Source organism: Homo sapiens, chromosome 18 (genome assembly GCF_000001405.40).
Source record: "Homo sapiens chromosome 18, GRCh38.p14 Primary Assembly".
Taxonomy (NCBI): domain Eukaryota; kingdom Metazoa; phylum Chordata; class Mammalia; order Primates; family Hominidae; genus Homo; species Homo sapiens.
Genome location: NC_000018.10, coordinates 245,989 through 269,208, shown reverse-complemented (window position 1 = coordinate 269,208; position 23,220 = coordinate 245,989). Strand labels below are relative to the sequence as shown.

General features: G+C 38.1%; 1 protein-coding gene across 4 annotated transcripts in view, besides 2 other annotated features; it reads left to right on the top strand.

The window, feature by feature from the left end:
- Positions 254-433: a silencer, noted in NCBI's record as "silent region_9238". NCBI's record gives its function as "represses an Ori minimal core promoter by ATAC-STARR-seq in GM12878 lymphoblastoid cells {active_cell/tissue: GM12878}" and the evidence as "EXISTENCE:reporter gene assay evidence [ECO:0000049][PMID:35858748]".
- Positions 824-1,293: an enhancer, noted in NCBI's record as "active region_13019". NCBI's record gives its function as "activates an Ori minimal core promoter by ATAC-STARR-seq in GM12878 lymphoblastoid cells {active_cell/tissue: GM12878}" and the evidence as "EXISTENCE:reporter gene assay evidence [ECO:0000049][PMID:35858748]".
- THOC1 (THO complex subunit 1) overlaps positions 1,162-23,220 on the top strand; it is a 53,528-nt gene continuing 31,469 nt past the window's right edge. For 3 of the 4 annotated variants that reach the window (NM_005131.3, XM_011525772.4, XM_017026104.2), the window contains exons 1-11: positions 1,162-1,243; positions 3,679-3,752; positions 3,846-3,906; positions 5,117-5,183; positions 8,905-9,023; positions 9,479-9,527; positions 9,934-10,029; positions 14,854-14,936; positions 16,597-16,670; positions 21,252-21,360; positions 22,754-22,885. In NM_005131.3, the coding sequence (NP_005122.2) occupies positions 1,190-1,243; positions 3,679-3,752; positions 3,846-3,906; positions 5,117-5,183; positions 8,905-9,023; positions 9,479-9,527; positions 9,934-10,029; positions 14,854-14,936; positions 16,597-16,670; positions 21,252-21,360; positions 22,754-22,885 (918 nt within the window). In that variant the 5' untranslated portion in view covers positions 1,162-1,189. Of the gene's footprint in view, positions 1,244-3,678; positions 3,753-3,845; positions 3,907-5,116; positions 5,184-8,088; positions 8,492-8,904; positions 9,024-9,478; positions 9,528-9,933; positions 10,030-14,853; positions 14,937-16,596; positions 16,671-21,251; positions 21,361-22,753; positions 22,886-23,220 lie in introns of those variants that run through there. The other variant, XM_047437972.1, reaches the window with a different exon arrangement.

Genomic DNA, 23,220 nt, shown 5'->3' with positions numbered 1-23,220 from the left:
GCCATACCTCAGGTGATCCACTCCTGACCTCAGGTGACCCACCTGCTTCGGCGTCCCAAAGTGCTGGGATTACAGGCGTAAGCCACCGCGCCTGGCCTCTATTTTAACTTTATGGCCAGTCAGCTATCTCCTCTAAATCACAAAAGGGAGAGGGTATAACCAGGTCCGTCTGACCTCCCATCCCGTTATGACTGGGAACTCAGTTGTTAAGATTTTGCTGGTGTCCCCTTGGCCTCACGGGGGTCTGTTCAGTTGTTGGGGGGCTTAGGATTTTAAATTTACAGACTTCGAAGAAGGGAACAAGATACACGTGTGAGGGAATAAGAGGAAGTTACCCGAGTCTGAGTCAGTGCTTCCTTCTCCACCGTGTAACTCCAACTTAGAGTTACTGCCACTCGGCTTCTATCGGCCACGTCTCTCCTGGGAAGGCAGGCAAGGGACGAAATGGAGGGAGACAAGGTTTTCGCTAGGGAAGCCTCGGCCCAGGACGCAGCGCCACCCGTTTTCCAATCAGCGCCGGGCACTGCATTCCTCCTAGGTCTCTTTCTTTCAGTAGAGACCTTTTAATAATAAATACTACTTACATTGCTTTACAGTTCACACTTGCGGTCATTATTTCAGTGGAGCTTTTCAACAGCTCTGTGAGACAGGTATTATTTCTATTTCGGAGCAGAGAGAACAGCGCCCTTGAGCCACAGGGCTCATACATCCGGAGCCTATCACCACTCCGCATCTTAAGCTCCCGGGATGACCGCGGACTGGCGGCCCAGGACCACTGCTCCAGCTGTTTCCCCAGGTAATCCACCTGCCTTGGGTTACCTTTTAGCGCGGCCCAGTTAGCCGCAACCAGCCACCATTTACCCGCTTTCCCCAAACCAGGAAAACCACAGAAACGCATGTGCGCGGCCAGTCTCTTCCACGCCCGGGAACGCAGAGCTTACAGACCAAGGCCGCCCAAGTCCCCTCACCCCAAAGGCTACCCAAGAACCCCGAGTAGGCTGTTTGGCTGACTCAGGCGCCCAACGCCCACCCGAACTGAGTCGCTAGGGAAACTCCCAACTGCCAGCTCGCCCGACCGGTGTTCACAGGCCACTCTAGCCGGGCTCAGAGAGACCGCAGTCTCGTTGCTCCTGGCTTGACGTCATCGGCAGGCGCCGCAGCGCAGTGGCGGGCACGCGCAGCCGAGAAGATGTCTCCGACGCCGCCGCTCTTCAGTTTGCCCGAAGCGCGGACGCGGTTTACGGTGAGCTGTAGAGGGGAGGGTGCAGGCCTGACCCGGCGCTATGCTTTGTCCTCTTCTCCCTGAAATTACTCGAATTTTGCCCTGGGGTAAAGTGAGACAGAGGTGTGTCCGCCTCAGCGTCCGCTCCGGGCCCCGTCGGAGGTTGAGGGGTAGGGAAAGACGCACTACCCGCCTCTTCTTTGTGGGCTGGGCCGTCCGCCTCCGCCCACCCTCCAGCGGGTCCCCGGACTGCGTGCTGGGCGCCTCGGCTCCCCGCTTGGAGTGCCCACCTGCAGACTACTGCTGGTTGGGTCCATCCTCTCAGCTCGTTTAGTGGGGCAGGTGTCTCGAGAAGGGGAAGGGGAGCTGCTGAAGGGGGAGGGTGGGAGTGGTTTCAGTCCAAAGACCTGGCTCCCGCCCTAGCCTTCTGAGCTACCAAGTGCTTGTTCCCGCCGTCTCTTCACCACCCCTTAACCCACCGTGTCTAACTCCTAAGCGATCGATGAGATCCTAAGCGGGAAAAGGCAGATAGATCACCTTGGGAAGGGTAACCAGATGCTATTTTATTCTTGCTCAATGTGGAAGGGTGGTTTTGAGCATTTGGGAAACACTTGACAGATCACTTTCTCATTTAACTATTAGAGTAACACTGTGAAGTAGGCTAAGTTGGTTATTCCTGGTACATGAGGTAGAAGCTGACACCCCCCAAAAAGTTGTGACTTCAGTGGTTTTTCTGACTTTAGACACTCTGTTCTTTTTATGTTGCTCGTCACAGCAACGTAAGTATGAAGAACACTTTTAAGTTGCCTGACTCTATTCGTCTCTAGCATTTGCACCAACATTTCTCAGATATTCGGCTGTGTTTTGGTAGTTATAGGGATGCCAGGATGAAAATTGTGTGAAAGAAAAATTCATCCTTTGTAGTAAGTAGTTTTCTTGTTTGCAGGGTTATATATATATATATATACATATATATACGTATACGTATAATATATATATACACACACACACAGTGTGAGGTTTTTTTTAAATGGATTATATTTTGTGTATGTCATCATAATCATTTTCTTTGTGTGCGTTTTGCTGCAATCTCTGGTGCTTTGAAAGCCTGCTAAGAGTAACTGTTAGGACTATCCAAGATCATATTGGCGGCCGGGCGCAGTGGCTCACGCCTGTAAATGCAGTACTTCGGGAGGCCGAGGCGGGCGGATCACCTGAGGTCAAGAGTTCAAGGCCAGCCTGGCCAACATGGCAAAGCCCCGTCTCTACTAAAAATACGAAAATTAGCCAGGCGTGGTGGTGGGCGCTGTAATCCCATCTACTTGGGAGGCTGAGGCAGGAGAATCGCTTGAACCCGGACAGCGGAGGTTGCAGTGAGCCAAGATCATGCCAGTGCACAACACCTGGGCAACAGAGGGAGACTCCATCTCAAAAAAAAAAAAAAAAATCATACTAGCCCTGAAAAGGACCATGAAATTGGAGATCATCTAGTTCAGTGTTTCTCAAGCTTCTTGTGAAATGCAGATTCTTGTTCAGTAAGTGTGGAAGGGAGCCTGAGATTTTGCATTTCTACCAGCTTCCTAGGTGATGCCACTGTAGCTGCTGCTGGTAGTAAAAATCTACAAAAACCCTCTTATTTAACTGGTGACGAAAATGAAGCACAAAGAGATAAAGGAACAGGCCCCAAATTACTCAGCCTGTTAGTGGCAGAGCAAGGAATGGACACATTTAGGATAGATCTAATTCCTGTGAGGTAATAAGATGACTTTCTAAGTGTATGTGAGTGTTCATAGAATGAATGCCTTTTGCAATATTTTTGTCTTTAAGTTATGATTACTTTAAAACAATCTACAGATTGTCAGCATGGTTTTATTGAGTGCTACGTGTCAGGGACTGAACAAGATACCTCCAGGAGGCGAGACCTGACATGGGTGTGGGAGAATGGATAGAATTTGGATGAGCAGGTAGGAAGAGCAACATGAATGTGTGAATACAGTAGAATGAGTTTGATATAAAGTGATGAAAAATGGCTAGACTTTAGTGCAAAGTATGTGTTAGGGAGTATTGGGAATTAAGTTTGGGTAAATTGGGATAACATTATCAAGGACCTTGAGGGATCTATGAAGCTTCAAAACTAAAACGGGCAAATAAGGAGCCATATGGAGATTTTTTTTTTTTGTAAGCACAATACTCATGAATGTGATATTTAAAGAGACAGAAATATCACCTAGAATGAAAAAGTCCAGCAAGGAAGCTCTTGCCAGATTTAAAGTGATGAGGATCCGTATCATGAAGTAGCATTGGAATAAGGATTACTGAGAGAATGACTGATAGGTAATTTTTCCCAGGTATAAGCATTTTTTAGTTAGTAAGATACACTATCAATGAACGATATATTTTTCAGCAAATAATAAGCAAAATCTTTACAATTATTTGCCATTTTAATTTTTTTTTAGAAGTCTACCAGAGAGGCCTTGAACAACAAAAACATCAAGCCATTGTTAAGTACCTTCAGCCAGGTACCTGGCAGGTAAGGCATTGATATCTATGAAAAATACTTGCCTCAATCTTTATACATACCCTGAGCTGTTTGAAAAATGAGGATGTCTTTTGTTTTTAATAGTGAAAATGAAAAAAAATGTACCCTTGACCAAGCTTTCAGAGGTATTCTAGAAGAAGAAATTGTAAGTATGTTTTTCCATTGTTAAAATTTTACTGACAAATTAATAAACCATGTTATTTAAAAATTGCTTTTTTTCTTAGAATGGATATTTAAACATCTTTTTTTAGAGTAACCTTTCTGCTTTGTAAAAGTTGACTTGATGACTATACGATTTCTCTAAGGATTTTGATAGCACAGGTACATTTTAAGGGTTTGGTTTAATAAATGACAAGAGCCCTCTCCAAGTGAGATAAGAAAAGTTGACATGAGGTCTTAGGAAGAACTAGAGGTGAAGGTGGGCTCTCTCACTTTCCTGTATAAGCAGTGATACATCCTGTAGTGGCGCAAAAGGTCTAGTCCAAGAATATTTAGCTTAGGAGCTGGGATTCCATTCCCTCATTTTCCTCTGGCATCCTCCTCATCAGTAAACTTACATAAATAACTGAGGGCTCTCCAACTTCGGTAGAGAAGTCTAACCATGAAAAATCTGAATTTGTTTACCAATAATGGGGCACCTGAATGAAAGGAAAAGTTTCAACAGTTTATTCTTGGTCAAGCAAAGGTTGGGTCCCCAAAAGCTAGATTCCCTTCTATTGGCCATAGTACAATGTCCCTTTCTCTCAGACAAGTCTGATTAAAAAATGATTCTTTCCTTTTCTTCAGACTTAGTCACTTTTCCATTGTGAGGCATTGGGCAAGTTCTTTTCCTTTTCTGTGCTTCAGTTTCTTTTGTGAGAGGGGAAATACCGTTCTTTCAGTGTTGTTGTGTGTAAAACAGCACTTAATGAACACTCAGTAAATGCTGGTTATTATGATTTTATAGAACCTAAGCACTGTCTTCCTTCTATTAAAACCACCCCTCAGACACATGGGTGTATTAGTAGTTAATTCTCATAGCCCTGCCTTTGCCCTGTGCCACTGGCTGAGTTATGGCTTCAGCACTTCTGTCCTTGATTAGCTTATAGCCTTCATCTTGCTAATATAACCATTTTCTTGAGACCATTGGATTTTGAGTGAGTTGCCTGTTACTTGACATACTTCTACGACTATTGATTCTATATGTTACTGTTAAATTTTGGTAACTTCATATTAGAAAATATTGTTTTCTATAAGAAATATTGTATTCCATATTTCTGATAGTCAATTTAATATCAGAGTACATGTTTTTACTGTTAATCGAGTTTAGTCTGAACTCTTGCCCCTAAATTAAATTGTTTCTCCTCTGTTGGTAGATAAATCATTCATCATGTGAAAACGTTTTAGCTATTATTTCTCTTGCTATTGGGGGAGTAACTGAAGGTAAGTATGGTTCCGTTTTGTTTTGTTTAAAGTAATCTTGGACATGACATGCTTTATTTAAAACGTCTTCTCCCCATACTTCTCCACCTATCTGATTTTGTTTATTCTTCAAGTTCTGCCTGACTCCCAACTTTGCCAAGAAGTCCCAGTTGAATTAGTTCACTCTTATTTCTCATCTCTATTATGCAGTGCACATTTTGGCACTTCCTTTGTTCTCCAGTTGTTTTGTTCATTCAGTAAATTTTCATTGAGCATCTACTATGTGCCTGGTACTGAGCTAGGACCTGGAGATTCAATGGTGAATAAAACATATTCCCCTGCTTATGTGGAGCTAATGGAAGAAACAGATGTATGCATGCCTTACTATGGTGTAAGTACTATGGTCGAAGTGGGAATGAAGTGTAGTTAGAGGGAATAGAGCCAACATGGCTCTCTAAACTTCAGTCTAAAGGAGTCAGGAGAGGTTTTAGAAAAGAACATGAGAACTAGAATGTGAGGTATGAAGAATTTGTTAGACATACTAAGAAAGGAATAGCTAGAGAATTGTGTACAGCAGGAGGAGGAGAGGACAATGAGAATGATGAGGAAAGAAGCAGGTTAGGTCCATTTATAAAGGGCACTGGGTGCCATACTAAAGAGCAGCTGCAGGCCGGGCGCGGTGGCTCACGCCTGTAATCCCAGCACTTTGGGAGGCTGAGACGGGCGGATCATGAGGTCAGGAGATCGAGACCATCCTGGCTAACACGATGAAACCCCGTCTCTACTAAAAATAAAAAAATTAGCCGGGCGCGGTGTCGGGCGCCTGTAGTCCCAGCTACTCAGGAGGCCGAGGCAGGAGAATGGTGTGAACCCGGGAGGCGGAGCTTGCAGTGAGCTGAGCTCGAGCCACTGCACTCCAGCCTGGGCAACAGAGCAAGACTCCATCTCAAAAAAAAAGAGCAGCTGCAGATGAATGATTCCATTTGAAGTGACTGCTGGCAGGAAAACTGGGCAGGAGCCTGTTAAAATGGCTGTGTGTGATAGCTTTAGAAGACTTCGGGTAAACAATGCACATAGTACACAGAGCCTAACACAAAATAGGAGCTCGTTAAATATATGCAGAAAGAAGAAATAAAAAATTAGTTTATCAGCATTCTTCTTTAACCAATTTGGTTAAAATACTCATTTGATTAATTCAAATAATATATGTGAAAACTCCTTTTTAATCTGTAAAGCATTATTCACATTATGTGTTATTTTGATGCTTCTATAAAAACTGGCACACACCTCCCAGTATAGGGGCAAACTATTTTATGAACTTAAGTTCATAAATTCACTTTGTTAAATGTTTATACAAGCTGCCTAATCATTCATTCATTAGGCATAGTTAGCTGAGTCCCACAATGTAATATTCCTTGTCTAGTTTCAGTCAAACAGTGTTCAGTGTGTCCTGAGTTCATTGATTACCTTTATACATTATTCTTGCACAGCTGGTGATGTTTTTAATGAAGAAGTTGTACAAAGTCTAGTCTATACTTGGAACTTTTGAGAAGGATAAGGACTTAAGAGCTTAAACTGTAAAGGCATAGTGCATTTTTATTTTAGGGATAATTTTTCTTTTTGAGACAGACTATAATTGGTTATGTGACATGTTTTTAAATTATCCATAAATATATTTTGTTAAATTCAATTTGGCCGATATTTATTGAGCTTCTATTCAGTGTGAGATGCTACTGGTTAAAGCATACAAAAATGCCTAACCTTAAAAAGCTCATAGTCTACATTCAAAGGTGACTAGTTAGGATGTGCTAAATGCTACAGTATATTTATGTAGAGTGTGCTTCAAAAGCATAGATGAAGTAGCCTGCTTCAGGATATCAGAGTTATTTAGATGAGCTGACATTCACTCTATGCTTAGAAAGATGGAGTTGAAATTTACCATGTGGTAAAGAGGAGGAAGAGTATGCAGAAAACAACATTGTGAACAAAACCATGGAAGGATGAACATGGCATGGTGTTTGGGAACTGGGGAGTGGGAACTAGAAAGGGATGTCTGTGGCCCAGGTAAGGGTAAGGAGAGAGATTGGTGTGGAAGCTGGGACACAGGTTGTGAAAGCTCTTGGGGGAATCACACTATAACCCAATGGTTCCCAGACTTGCTGGCTCATCAGAACCACCAGTGAATCTATTTTTAGATGAGATTCCCAAACCTTGCTTAGTTCTACTGACTCAGAATTTTGGCAGTAGAATCTAGAAAAAGTTCTATAATTATTAAATGTGAGTTAACTTATTCCAGGCTATACTGCAACTAAGGGCAGAAAATATGCTTCTCAAATCTCTTGGATGTGCAGGGTATATAATATCATTGAATCTAAGTATTGTTAGGGACTTTAGAGGTCACCTAGTCCAGTCTCATCTCTGGCCTAGACTGCTTCTCTGCTGTAACATCCCTGGTGGGTGGTCATTCAGCCTCTGCTGAATCATGCTCATTAGTGGAGCTCACTGTTTGAGTCCTGTTAGACAAATGTGGTTATTGGTGTGTTCCCTTGTATTGAGTTGAAATCTGCTGTTTTATTTCACCCACTGCTTCTAGGCAATATCCCTCACGTCGCATTCCAGATATGATCTTACTAGTGCAGAGTACAGCTGGAAATATTTCTTCCTTTTTTCTGGACATAGTATATTAATGCACTGTTTTGGGCTTAGATCACCCTAGATATTTTTCCTCCATATACCATGCCTAAGTGACTACTTTTCTTAAACACTTATGAGTGTTAGTAAGTACTCATTGCCTTAAAATAGAAGGAAGAATGAGTAGGGATATAAAAGTATTCTAAGTAGTCTAGATAGACTACGTAGACCTTTTCTTAAGAAAAATCTTAATTTTGTTGTTCTTTAAACAGTAACTTTCTACTTTTCCATTCTTTCCCCTGAAACAATACTGTTATTTTAAATGTTGAATCATAGTTAATATCAAACCTTGTTATTTTTTGAAGATAATCTTTTCAAATCACAAAGACAATTTAGCAACATTACAAAACATTTAGAAATAAGAAGGGAAAACAGTACTCTTAATTCCTCTACTTTTAAAAGCTACCATTCATCTGGTATAATGGTTTTAGTTTCTATAGTCTTTTAAGAATTTTTTTTATTGTCATAACCATATGTACATACAATTTTGAATCCTGCCTTTTTTCACTTAGCATTATATCATAAGCATTTTTCCAAGTTATTATAGTCGTTATAACCATCATTTTTAATTGGCTGCATTATATTCTTTTGAATAGCTTAGTGGTGAAGAAAACAGACTGTGGAGCCAGACTGCCTGGGTTCGTATCCCAGCTCTACCACTTACTGGCTCTATGATCTTGGTGAAGTTATTTAACCTCTCTGTGTCTCAGTTTTCCCATTCTATAAAATGCAAATAATGATATGCTCTACCTCATAGGATTGTAAGGATTAAATGTGTTAGTATATGTAAAGTACTTAGTGTGCCTGACATATAGTAAATGCTCTAGATCTTGTCAAGAATTATTGTCATCATTACTGAGTGCACATATCAAAAATTACTTAAGTATGTCCTATTTGGGGACTTTTAGGTTGCTTCCACTTCTTGTCCTTTTAAAACCTTGTTATGAGTAACAAAGTGTACCTTTTAAGATATTCTTCAGAATTATTTTTCATAGGCTATTCTACTCTACAGTTTTTTAAACTTTTAAATTGGCTTGTGCTCCACTTGAAGGTATTTGTACCGCATCTACACCTTTTGTATTGTTGGGAGATGTTTTGGATTGTCTTCCTTTGGATCAGTGTGACACAATATTCACTTTTGTGGAAAAAAATGTTGCTACTTGGAAATCAGTAAGTGCCTTAGTTTCTTTTCCTGCTAACTTTATCTTTCTATAGATCCAGAATTCTGAGGGTAGATTTTTTTTTTTAAATTTATTTGTAGTATTGCTGAATGCCAACAAGTTTCTGCCTATGAAAAAATTATATACTGCTCTCTCGGGAGAGCCAAATAAAAACCATGTGTGGAGAAAAACTTGAAATACAAAATTTGATTTAATTTGTGTAATAAAAATTAACTTGAAAATTCACACTTTCACATGTTTAAAACAGTTACTTAGTATCATGTTTTCTTATATCTGAAAATATTTTTATTTCATTGAAAATGTTATTTGCTTAAAAAAAGTGAAAGTGGCATAGTAGATTCTCAGTGCATGTTAGTGTTCTTTAATATTTCACTCTGGCAACTTATTATTGAAGAATGTGTAACAAGTTCTGAAGAAGAGTGATAATTTCCGTCTTAATTTCAGAATACATTCTATTCTGCTGGGAAAAATTACTTACTACGTATGTGCAATGGTAAGTAATTGAGTGATAAAATGATTGCTTTTTAAGTGTAAATATGCCCAGAAAAACACATGGTTGAATTAAATACCAGTGATAACATTTTAAAGATAGATTAGGTATCTGCATTTTTAACTAACAATCTGATTTGTTAGAACTCATTATTCACTTTAAACTGTTTTTGTTCTGGGCATAAGCTTAAAGTCAGAAACGTAGTAAAGTTTGTCTTTTTCATGTCATGTTGAACTTGTTTTGTTCCTAATTTATAGTACTTTTTTGTGGCAGTGGTTTCGGCCCCCAATTTAAGAACTACTGCTTTAGGAAAATACTCTTGACACACTGGTTTAGAAACTTTTAGGTGTGGTTGTAATAAACATAGAATTATCTTTTCTGTGTAACGTTCATTTTCATATATTGTTAGATCTCCTAAGAAGATTGTCTAAATCCCAGAATACAGTCTTCTGTGGACGGATTCAGCTCTTTTTGGCCAGGCTTTTCCCTCTGTCTGAGAAATCAGGTAAGCTTTTATGCATTAAATGAGTTTTCTGCAGGAAAATCTTTTCCAGTTTTTAATAGATTAAAATCTGTCATGATAATGAGAAAAATGGTTCTAAAAAGTTGAAAGACATCATAGAAATTGTCACTTTATTTTCTTTTACTTATAAATGTATAGCAGTCCTAGTATATAATACAGGTAATCCTGAAACAAAGTCATGGATTCTTTTAAGTTCAAAGCTTATTAATGTAAAGTTGAATCACACTGAAACATGTAGATATGAACCATCATATCCGTATTTCATAATGTATGCCTATTTTTGTGTTTGGATTTTCTCTCAGTCACAACTATTTAGCTATATAGACTTCCTTTCATTTCTCTTTTTTTAACAAATTTTTATTGTGAAATATAACGCTCATATAGAAAAGTACATAAAGCGAATAATAATGAAACAAATACTGTATAACCACTATCTAGCTCCTGAAATGGGACATTGCTTGTCCTCCAGAGCCTTCCGCCTCCCCAGTATGTTCAAATATGCGAGATTTTAATATCTCCTTGCTTCAGTCCTCCCTTCCTTAATATTGGGCTAATGTACCACCTACTTTATATGTTCTGAGGATTAAATGAATTAAAACATGTGAAGAGCTTACATTAGTGCCTGCATGTAGAAAGACCTATAGCATATGTTAGCAGTGGTTTATGTGCTTTCTTTTTGTCATCTTATGTCTGTGCTGTTTTCTTTCATACTTATTTTATGTGGTCAGGGTTAATATAGATTTACCACTTCTTGTATTTCTGGCTTTCTGTCTGTGATCATTTTCCCTTTTAGACTTTTCTTCAGTGCAGGTCTGTGTTTTGCCTAAAAATCGTTACTTCTCCTTTATTTTTTTTCCTTTCTTTCTTCCAAACTCCTGTTAATATTGGTATTTTGACCTCCTCCCAATAGGTATAAGATTCTAGATTGGCACTAGATACAGGATTTCATCTCACGGGAAATAATCTTTACTTTGTCTTCTGTTTCCCATTTTTCTATTGACAAGTCAGATGTCAGTCTCACTTCTTGAAGATAATCTACATTTTTTTCTCTGCGCTTAAGATTTTTTTTCTCCTTTGGTTTTCTTTTAGTTTTACTATGATGTATCTCTGTGTAAATTTCTTTTTATTTGTCCTGCTTAGGATTGTGGACATCTTGAATGTATGGATTAGATTCTTCCATCTAGTTTGTAAAAATTTAGCCATTATCTCTTCAAATATTGTGTATGCCTCTTTATCTTTTTCTTTTTCTGGAACTTCAATTAAACATCCATTATACCTTCTCACTGTATCCTCTGTTTTTTACTCCTTATATATTTTTTCATCTGTTTGTCTCTCTCTACCTGATTCTGAATAATTTCTTAAGAATTGTTTTTTTTAGTTTTCTAAACTTGGTAAACATTGTTACTTTATTGTCTGTATCTGGTAATGCCAATACCTTAAATAAGTCTTGGTGGGTCTGTTTCTCCTGTCTGTTTTGACTGTTTCTCACTCATGGTATCTTGCCTCTTTGTGTGTCTGGTTATCATTGGCTGTTACGTTTGAGAAGATGTGCTCATTGCTACTGGAGTATCACTACTTCTAGGCCCTCTCAGAGACCAGAGCTAGGAGAGACATATGTGTATACTAACCATACTCATCTGTATTTGTTTCTGTATCTGTCAGTATATATTTTACATGAACAGCAGCAAAAAATATGAGATTCTACTGATACCTCTGAGTTGAATCCAGCACCAGTAGATCTGTTTATTAACCTCTTTCTCTAACAGTAAGAAACTTGGCTCTCATTAACTATAATGTATTTACTTATTTGTTATACATTATCACTTTTTCATTAATATAATTTACATTTGTGCTTCCAACAGAATTATAAATTATTCTATATTGCATTCTGTGGAATTGTTCTGGAATAGTCATGAATAATAAGGATCAACTCTATTATAATGTATATAGAATTCTGTTTACAGACATACCGTGGGTTTTGTTCCAGACCACCACAATACAGTGAATATTGCAATAAAGCAATATTCATTCAACCAACATTTTTTGGTTTCCCAGTGCGTATAAAAGTTATGTTTACACTATGCTGTAGTCTATTAAGTATGCAATAGCATCTAAAAAAATGTACATACCGTACTTCTAGAATACTGCTAAAAACTGGTAATGACCACCAAAGCCTTTTGCAAGTCGTCATCTTTTTGCTGGTGGGGGTCTTACCTTGATGTTGATGGCTGCTGACTGATCCAGGGTGGTGGTTGCTGAAGGTTGGGCTGGCTATGACAATTTTCTTCAAATAGCACAGTGAAGTTTGCCACATCAATTGACTCTTCCTTTCACGAAAGATTTCTCTGTAGCACATGATGCTGTTTGGTAGCATCTTATCCACAGTAGAACTTTCAAAGTTAGGGTCAGTCCTCTCAAACCCTGCCGCTACTTTATCAACTAAGTTTATGTAATATTCTAAACTCTGTCTCAGAAAAAAAATAAAAAATAAGCCGAGATCGCACCATTGCACTTCAGCCTGGGCAACAGGAGTGAAACTCTGTCTCAGAAATAAAATAAATCCTTTGTTGTCATTCAACAGTGTTCGCAGCATCTTCACCAGGAGTAGAATTCATCTCGAGAAACCACTTTCTTTGCTCATTCGTAAGAAGCAACTCCTCATCTGTTTCAAGTCCAATCATGAGATTGCAGCAATTCTGTCATATCTTCAGGCTCCACTTCTAATTGTAGTTCTCTTGCCATTTCTACTACGTAGATCTGCAGTTACTTCCTCCACTGAAGTCTTGAACCCCTCGAAGTCATCTATGAGGGTTGGAATCAACCTCTTCCAAACTCCTGTTAATGTGAATATTTTTACCTCCTTTGATGAATCACAAGTGTTCTTTATGGCATCTAGATTTGTAGGTCCTTTCCAGAAGGAGTTCCATTTACTTTGCTCAGATCCATAAAAAAATCACTATGTAGCTATAGCCTCATGAAATGTATTTCTTAGATAATAAGACTTGAAAGCTGAAATAACCCTTTGATCCTTTGGCTGCAAAATGGATGATGTATTAGCAGGCATGAAAACAACATTAATTTCCTTGCCCATCTCCATCAGAGCTGTTGGGTGACCAGGTGCATTGTGAATAAGCAATAATATTGTGAAAGGAAATCTTTTTTTCTGAGCAGTTAAGTCTCAACAGTGGCCTTAAAATTGTCAGTAAACCATGCTATAAACAGATGTGCTGTCATCAGGGTTTGTCTTTTTATGGATGGAGCCAAGGCAGAGTAGATTTAGCATAATTCTCAGGAGCCCCAGGATTTTCAGAATGGTAAATGAACATTGGCTTCAACTTAAAGTCACCAGCTGCATTAGCTCCTAACAAGAGAGTCAGCCTGTCCCTTGAAGGCAAGCAGTGACTTCTCTCTAGCTATGAAAGTCCTAAACAGCATCTTCCAATATCAGAATGTTTCATCTGCATTGAAAAATCTGTTGAGTGTAGCCACCTTCATCAATATTCTTAGCTAGATCTTCTGATAACTTACTGCAACTTCTCCATTGGTAGTTGCTGCTTCACCTTGCACTATTATGTTACGGAGAGGGCTTTTTTCTTTAAACCTCGTAAACCAACTTCTGCTAGCTTCGTACTTGTCTTCTGTGGTGTCCTCACCTGTCTCAGCCTTCACAGAATTAATAAGAGAGTTAAAGCCTTTCTCTGGCTGGTTTGCTTGTCTATCCAGACCACTCAGACTTTCTCTGTATCAGCAGTAAGGCTGTTTTGCTTTCTTATCATTCATGTATTCACTGGAGTGGCACTTTTAACTTCCCTCAAGAACTTTATCTTTGCATTCACAACTTGGCTAACTGTTAAGCGCAAGAGAACTTTCAGCCTGTCGTGGCTTTTGACATGCCTTAATTACTAAGCTTAATCATGTATAGGTTTTTATTTAAAGTGAGAAATGTGAGACTCATCCTTTTACTTGACACTTAGAATCCATTGCAGGATTATTAGTTGGCCTAAATTCAATATTGTCTCGTCTCAGGGAATAAGGAGGCCCAAGGAGAGAGAGAGAGTCATGGGAACGGTTGGTCGGTGAAGCAGTCAGAACACACACAGCATTTATTGATTGAATTTGCTATCTTACTAGCTTAGGCAACATGGCAAAAGCCCGTCTCTACTAAAAATACAAAAAAATTTAGCCAGGCATGGTGGTGCTTGCCTGTAGTCCCAGCTACTCAGGAGGCTGAGGTGGGAGGATCATCTGAGCTTGGGAAGCTGAACTTGCAGTGAGCCATGATCATGCCACTGCACTGCAGCCTGGGTGACAGGAGTGAGTCGCTGTCTCAAAAAAAAAAAAAAATAGTTTACTGTCTTAGATCTTAGATGGGCACAGTTTGTGGCAAAAACAAATCTGTGGCAAAACAATGACAATGTTAACCTCAAAGATCACTGATCACAGATCATCATAACAGATATAATAATAATGAAAAAGTTTGAAATATTGTGAGAATTACCAAAATGTGACAGAGGAAGTGAGCATATGCTGTTGGAAAAATGGTGCTGATAGACTTGCACGATGCAGGGTTGCCATTCAATTTATTTAAAAAAACAAGAAACTGTGAAGAACAACAAAACAAGGTATGCCCATACTCCAAAGGTACTTTTAAGAAATGAATTTTTGAAAGGATTTGAAAATCAAATGTGTTAATTTTGACTGCTCTTTATGGATTTGGCATTTTGTAGTTTTGATTATGACACAAGTTATACATAAGTTTAGGTGTCACTGGACTTGCTTTGCATCTTTTTTTTGTTTTTTTACTAGGTCTTAACTTGCAGAGTCAGTTTAATCTGGAAAATGTCACTGTTTTCAATACAAATGAGCAGGAAAGCACCCTGGGTCAGAAGGTGAGGCTGATTTGAAATCTTCTCAGATAACATATTTGCAAGTTTGTTATTAAGATAGTGGGTCCAGGCACAGTGGCTCACACTTGTAATCCTAGCACTTTGGGAGGCTGAGGTGGGCAGATCGCTTGAGCCTAGGAGTTCAAGACCAGCCTGGACAACATGGCAAATCCTCATTCCTACAAAAAAGTACAAAAATTAGCAGGGCATGGTGGTGCACGCCTGTGGTCCCAGCTACTCGAGAGGCTGAGGTGGGAGAATCGCCTCAGCCCAGGGAGGTCAAGCTGCAGTGAGCCTTGATCATGCCACTGTACTCCAGCCTGGGCGACAGAGTGAGAACCTGTCTCATTTAAAAAAAAAAAAAAAAAAAAAATTTCATGTAAATGGGCCTACAAGTCATCAAAAATTTAAAAACTTTTAACTTTATTTCCAACTTACAGAAATAATGTTTTGTATGTAAAAAATTCAACCAGTGTTTAAGATAGAATGTACAGTTATTCTGTAATCCAAGGTAGACCATGGTAGATTATGGCATAGCTTTCTATTAAAGTGGATTAACAAAGTAGCTATACTTTCTGTTTTAATAGTGTTAATCATAAGGTAGATTATAGAATAGATGTACTTTCTGTTTTAAACATTGGGTTATTTTTTGCAGAATATGTATTTTTTCTATAAATTCATATTATTTCTATAACCACTCATAACATTCTCTGTCTCACCATACCAGGACTTTTTGTGTATATGTACAAACATGTTGTTTTTCTCCAGAATGAGGTCATTCATACTATTCTGAAATTCACTTTCTTCCTTTAAGATTTAGTTTTATCTTAGTTTTTAAATGGCTCTTGATAAATCTCAGAGTGGATATATCACATTTCTCTGCCTGTGGACATTCAGATTATCTCTGATAGTGAAAAACAATGTTACAGTGTCTAGTAGTGTATAATATTGCATCAGTCTGCAGCGTCTGCATCAATTATGCAGATGTCTTTTTAGGATAAATTCCAGTAAGTAAAATTACTGGGTTAAAATATATGCATATTCCATATTTCAATAGCTATTGCCTGGTTACTTCTCAAAAAGGTTATACCAATTTATACAGCCACCAGTGGCACATGGAGAATGCCTGCCCTTTTTCCCCACAGCCTCACCCCAACAGTGTGAATTATCAATTTTTAAAAAATATTGGCTTAATTGATGTATATATTTGAAAAATAAGTCTTCTTAGTTTTAATTTCATTTCCTTGATCATTATTGGTGTTGAGGAACTTATTATATGTTGGTTGGAATTTATTTTTCTTCTGTGAATTAGCTATTCATGCTGTTTGCTCATTTTATTGTTGAATTGTCTTGTGCATTTCCAAAACATTTAGCCCTTTATTCCCAGAGGGAATCTATTGATTATGTTTAGAAATGTAGATTTGAAACTTTCTACTGTCTTCATGACTGTGTTATATCATTGTCATACTGCTCTTGAGTTCTTCTGTCCATCAGGTAAAATTCTGATTGCCTTACAGATTAACTATAGGTCTAGATAGTTAGTGACTAGACTTCTCTAACTGTGGGTTGCCTAGGAATGTGTAACTGACCACTTATTCTAGCATTTATCTCTTCTGTCTGATGACTGCTTCATGACAGGCTATACATTTTTTTTTCAATTTAGCACACTGAAGATAGAGAAGAAGGAATGGATGTAGAAGAAGGCGAAATGGGAGACGAGGAAGCTCCAACAACGTGGTGAGTTTTCAGAGCCTAAGCTTTTTGATTTACAGAGATAATCTCCTAATTTATTGAGTATCCTCTCTGGAGTGAGGAGATAGACAAGGAGGAAAGAAATTATAAGAAATTTCTTTCATTTGTAATTTTCATGTATATTACTTAATAAATCGTAAATCACTAATGGGCTTTATCTGCTGGTTTCTATATTATGTGCAGACAGTTCATTGTTTATATAGACTACCCTATGCATAATCCCAGCATTTGAAAAGCCAACCACAGGCAGCCTTAGGAGCTCCTCCCCTTAATCCCTTCCATTAAACTTGTGGACCCAGTGCCTGTGTGTATTGGGCTAACTTTTAATGAAATAGGCAAGTTAAGAAGCCTTTCCTCCTTCTCTCCCCTTGCTCTTAAAACTGTTTCTTATCTCCTCCTCTGTAGCCCTGTGCTTTCTTTCCAAAAGCAATCCTCAGTGGCATAGATAGGTTCTAGAAACTGCAACATTAAGTGAAATGATGTATGATGAAATCAATTTTCCCATAGGCTAACAAACAAAAGTTAGGTTCTTATGGCCTATTTCTGGTCACAAAAACAATCACCAAACTCCTAGATAAAGATCAAAATGCTTCTGTTATTAAACATTGAATAAATGTGAGCTATACATGCATTTGAGAAAGATTAATAAAAACAAGTAAGATAATTATTTGCCTAGTTATTCCAATTTAAGGTTGTGGGTGGCCAGAGCCTGTCACAGCAGCTCAGAGCGCAGGGCGGGAACCAACCCTGTACAGGACGCCATCTGCTCACAGTGTGTATACCCACCCACCCACACTCACTTATCCTGGAACCATTTAGACATGCCAGTTATTTTCATGTACACCTCTTTGGGATGCAGGAGGGAATCTGACTACCTAGAGAAAACCCACACAGACATAGGGAGAATGTGCAAACTCTACATAGACCGTGGCCCCAGCCAGGAATCGATTTTTTTTTTCTCATCAACGTTACAATAAAACAATGTTGAAGGAAACATCGTTATTTGAAGACTTTCCATAATTTCTTCCTAGTGCTGGCTTAGAAGCAATGAGCAAGAGAAAAGAGAAGGCATTAAGGAAAATTTTCCTTCACTGGCACTCTTCCAGGTGTCTGAGGTGATGAGAGTCATTAGTTATAATTGAAAGAATTTCCATTACTGTCTAGAAAATCAAGATGGGATTCCTGTATCTGCCCAGGGAGATGTATTTCTGGCATCCCAGAATTCAAATTCAAACACATCTCCAGAAGAAACATTAGAGGTAGTGTGGCTCCAAGCTTAACTCCAATACTTCCTAGTCATGTGACCTGGGGCCAATTACTTAACCTTCTACAACACAGTTTCCACATCTTTAAAATGTAGTAATGCCACCTACTCTCTACAGTTAAGAGGATTAAATAAGACGATGATCAGAAATAGTCTATTAAGGCACTAATTGTTTATATGTAGTGGTAAGTGTAAAGCACTTAGAATATTGTCTATTCAGTGTCTAGTAGCTATTATTTGTTATCGTTATTATTTTTTTTTAGAGACCTATTTATTCATTATACATGAATAAAGTAGGCTTTAAGGTCTGGCCTGAGCAACATAAGGGCTCTGGGGCAAGTTAGTAGGCTACAAGATGATGAGTCACCTGAAGTGTAAACAGCCCAAAAGACACTGGCCAGTGCAGTTTTGTCTGCTTAGATTTTGCCTAAGACTGTATAGACAATTCATCCCTATTGGTTATGTTTGTAAATCACTTAAATAAGACTCAACACTCAGCTGCCTCTGTCACAGTCACTAATGTTGAATAGAGGGAGAAAATACGTGAGGAATTACTTTGTGACAGCTGTTATCACCAGATGGTCTTAGGCACTGTAATTTACAAAGCAGAACTCATTACCCATCTACCTACAATATGAAGTCCATTTCAGATTTGGCTCAAATACACCAGTAAACATTTTTGTTAAGAAATTTCAATGTATAACATCCTGTAAAATAGCTGAACATTTAAAAAAATATATCAAGTTTTCCAGAGTTTTTTTGGTTAAAATAGTTACAAGACATTCTATTTTACATAGTAACTGGGTCTCTGATTTGTTATTATTTGCAAATACAATAATTGGTTACATTTGCTTTGTGTGGGTAAACAGAAAATTCAAAAGTTTCTGTGGAGTGTTGAAGGTGGAAGGCAAATTGCAAGTGGGTTGAAGAATGAACAGGAAGGTAATGAAGTGGTGACATGGAGTATAGACAACTCTTTGAAGAATTTTATTCAGCTGTGAAGGAAAAGAGCAAGGGACAGCATCTAGGAGAGGGGACTTTAAATTTTTAAAAATATATTAATGCCTCAACTGTAAAAACTGCCTAACAGTAAGATATTAACACTACTTCAAAATTTATTCTGTAAGACACCTCAAATACCCACCAAGCCAATTAAAGATAAAAGGGAAGAGATCAAAAGTCTTTTACAGGTAGGAGATGGTAATTAGCAACATGGAATAATATTGTGATTGGTATTAAGTGTTAAATTAGATGTGAAGTTCTTAGCAATTGAGACAAAAAGGGACATATAATGGTTGCATGAGTCTCATTCTCTGTTAGAGGTAGCCCCATTTTTAAGAGACAAACTTTCCTGGTACATTTCAAGAGGTATTTATTATATTCAATCTTACATGTTGTAACTGAGTAACATTTTGTTACTCAGTGTGTGTGTGCACATGCACTTCAGAAACATTCTTTATCAAATGTATGGAACTATACAAATATTGGTTCTTGTTCTTTCATGAATGTAAATAATTTATATAGTGCTATTTCTTTTCTCTATTTACTTTAACGTTTTAGGGAATGTTCTTTTTGCGGCTTTTTTTTTTTTCTTTTTTGAGACGGAGTCTCGCTCTGTCACCCAGGCTGGAGTGCAGTGCTGTGATCTCGGCTCACTGCAAGCTCTGCCTCCTGGGCTCAAGCGATTCTCCTGCCTCAGCCTCCTGAGTAGCTGGGACTACAAGCACGCACCACAATGCCTGGGTAATTTTTGTACTTTTAGTAGAGATGGGGTTTCAGTATGTTGGTCAGGCTGGTCTTGAACTGACCTCGTGATCCGCCCGCCTCAGCCTCCCAAAGTGTTGGGATTACAGGTGTGAGCCACCGTGCCCAGCCTGTGGCTTTTTTTAAAAACCCAATTCATAGAAAACCCAGAGGTATAATCTTACTGTTGTAAATCAGTGAAGCTGCTTTAATTATAGAGAGAAGTTAATGTGTACATCATTGTTTTCCTACTTTCAGAGTTGTTACTAGGGAAAAGTTTAGGAAGAGCGAAAGTAAACATGCCCATTAGAGTCTTTCAGATACTACTAATTCATGATGAAAGCTTTGGCAAGAACTAGATTTAGATTTTTGTTAGTTAAAAGTCAGTATTCTTCACTGTTGATTTTCACGTGCTTCAGATACTAGCCGTTTATCAGATATTAGCTGTTTTAAAAATTAAAAGAATAGGCCGGGTGCAGTGGTACACGCCTGTAATCCCAGCACTTTGGGAGGCTGAGGTGGGCAGATCATGAAGTCAGGAACTCGAGACCATCCTGGATAACACGGTGAAATGCTGTCTCTACTAAAAATACAAAAAATTAGCCGGGCATGGTGGCGGGTGCCTGTAGTCCCAGCTACTCAGGAGGCTGAGGCAGGAGAATCGCTTGAACCCGGGAGGCGGAGCTTGCAGTGAGCTGAGATCGCACCACTGCCCTCCAGTCTGGGCAACAGAGTGAGACTCCTTTAAAAAAAAAAATTTAAATTAAAAGAATATGTATTGACACTGTAGATTTGTGACATATCAAGATTAGAAGTTGAATTAGTAGTGCCATAATAAAGTTACTAGATAAAGGGCTTATTTTTGTGATGCTAACTTGATATGTACCATATATGTTTTTCTCATACTGGTGCTTCTTAGGATATAATATTTTTAGTTAGGATATGATACCTGTGACTTTTAACATAGATTCAGATTAACATTGGTTTAAACAACATAAAAGTTGATTTTTCCCCCTCATATCGAAGTCTAGAAGCAGGCAGTCCAAGGCTGGTAAGGGAGCACTGCTCGGTGAGATTGCCTAGACCCAGGCTTCTTCTACCTTCTTCTTCCATCATCTTGGTGTTTGCCCTTTTTCCTGTAGTGCAAGGTGGCTCACGCTCACATCTGCATTCTAGCCAGCAGGAAGAGGAAAAGGCCAGTGATAAAATATGGCCCAAAAGTTGCACATATGACTTCCGCTCTCAACTGATTGGCCAGAATTTAATCACATGACCATGCGAGCAGCAAGATTGGTTGGGAAACATAATCTTTAATTCTGAATAACCATGTGTCCTTCCAAAATTCAGGGGCTCCACCAGTGTAGATAAAGAGTCTATTGGGGTCTATGAGTTCCCTAAAATGATTTGTAAAAGTTTATATAAGCATTTGTGAATGTGTACTTTTCTGATAACTTTCATTAGCTTCTGAAAACGGTTTGTGACCAAAGCTAAGTTAAGAATATTTAGATATTTGTAAAAGAATTTGAATGATTTATTTAATATAACGTTTATTTTATTAGCTCTATTCCAATTGATTACAACCTGTATCGAAAATTCTGGTCACTTCAGGATTACTTCAGGAACCCTGTGCAATGCTATGAGAAGATTTCATGGAAAACTTTTCTCAAGGTAAGTTGCCATTGACAGACTATCAGAAGCCCAGTATTTTATAGACAGTGATAGAGCTAAAACTTAATCTTGTCTAACATACTTTTCACTATGTAATTCTGCCTCTTACATTTTTATACCAATTTCATAACAAGTGAAATTATAAATTAATATTTAAACCACTAATATTGTGAAGTAGTATATAAGAATCGGATATTTAAAAGTTCGTCATTACAGCCTTGCTTTTTTTGAATATAATGAGTGTTGTTAACATAAATTGATATTTTGCAGAATATATTCTATCTTTGTACAAAATTATTTTAGCTATCTTGTTGAAACAGAAGTCCTCAAGTCATGGCTCTGGGCCAGATCTAACCTACTGCTTATAAACAAAGGTTTATTGGAATAGTACCATGACCATCCACTTACCTGTGGCTGTTTTTGCACTATAATGGCACAGCTGAGTAGTTGCAACTGAGATTATAAAGGCCACAAAGCCTGAAATACTTACTCTCTGGTCCTTTACAGAAAAAGTTTGCCAATCCTGTTTTAGAAGAATTTGTTATATTTTTCTTGGCTACTTAAAGATCAGTTGTCCTTTTTTGTCATAATTAAAATCTAAGATAAATAGGTAGTTCTCAGAATAGCATGGTGTGTGTTATGTTATTTTTAATAGTTTTTGTTTTATATGCAATTTTTTGTGGGGGCAGCACCATCCAAATTCAGATTAAGTGGTTAGTGAGAAATAATCTGGAATTGTCTTCTAACTGGACAGAATTTGGTGGAATTTATTTGCTCAGTTTTTAGCACAAGAAATGCGTAAGAGTTTCCACAGGTGGTTAAACAATTTCACTGGTAAATTTCTGTACACTCTTAAAAATGTTCCCTAATCTATTTGTCCCTTACACAGACTTCTTAAATCATATTTCTTCGTTTTTTTTTTTTTTTTTTTTGAGACGGAGCCTCCCAGGTTCAAGGGATTCTTCAGCCTCAGTCTCCTGAGTAGCTGGGACTACAGGTGCCCGCCACCACACCTGGCTAATTTTTGTATTTTTAGTCGAGACGGGGTTTCACCATGTTGGCCAGGCTGGTCTCAAACTCCTGATCTCAAGTTACCCGCCCCCCTCCGCCTCCCGAAGTGCTGGGATTACAGGCGTGAGCCACCACCACTGGCCAAGAAATTATATTTCTTTAGGAGTAGGGAGCTTGTACCTACTTTTGCAACAAGTGAAATATCATACAAAATAGTTTTAACTCCCATTCTGCTATCATAATTTGTATTGTTAGTGTGCCTTGCAATATACAGTCTACATACATGATTGACTGGGAGTAAATTCTAGGCATTTTGATGCAGAAAAGCACTAAACAAATTTGGGTAACAATGTCGAATAAAACTAATATTTTTATTTTGCAGTATTCTGAAGAAGTTTTAGCTGTTTTTAAGAGTTATAAATTAGATGATACTCAGGCCTCAAGAAAAAAGATGGAAGAATTGAAAACAGGAGGAGAACATGTATATTTTGCAAAATTTTTAACAAGTGAAAAGGTATAAGTTTTTCTTTTTCATTAAGCATAATAAGAAATGGTCTTGTTTTATTTCCGTTTAGCTGACAGCCTTTCTAAGTTAAACTGAATAGAAATGTTTCTTATTTTACTTTGGGTTAAAGCTGATTGATTAATGTTAGTTTGAAAGTCCCATTTCTTCCTTTCAGAAGTAGGACTAATTTGGTTTCAAAGGTGAAAGTAGTTCTACATTAAGTCTGTTTTGTAAACTAATTTTGGAATAAATGCAGTTTAATTACTTTCATGTCTATATATTTTAAATGTCAAGTTAGGATTTAATTTGTATATGAAAATATTTCATAATTATTATTTAGGTGC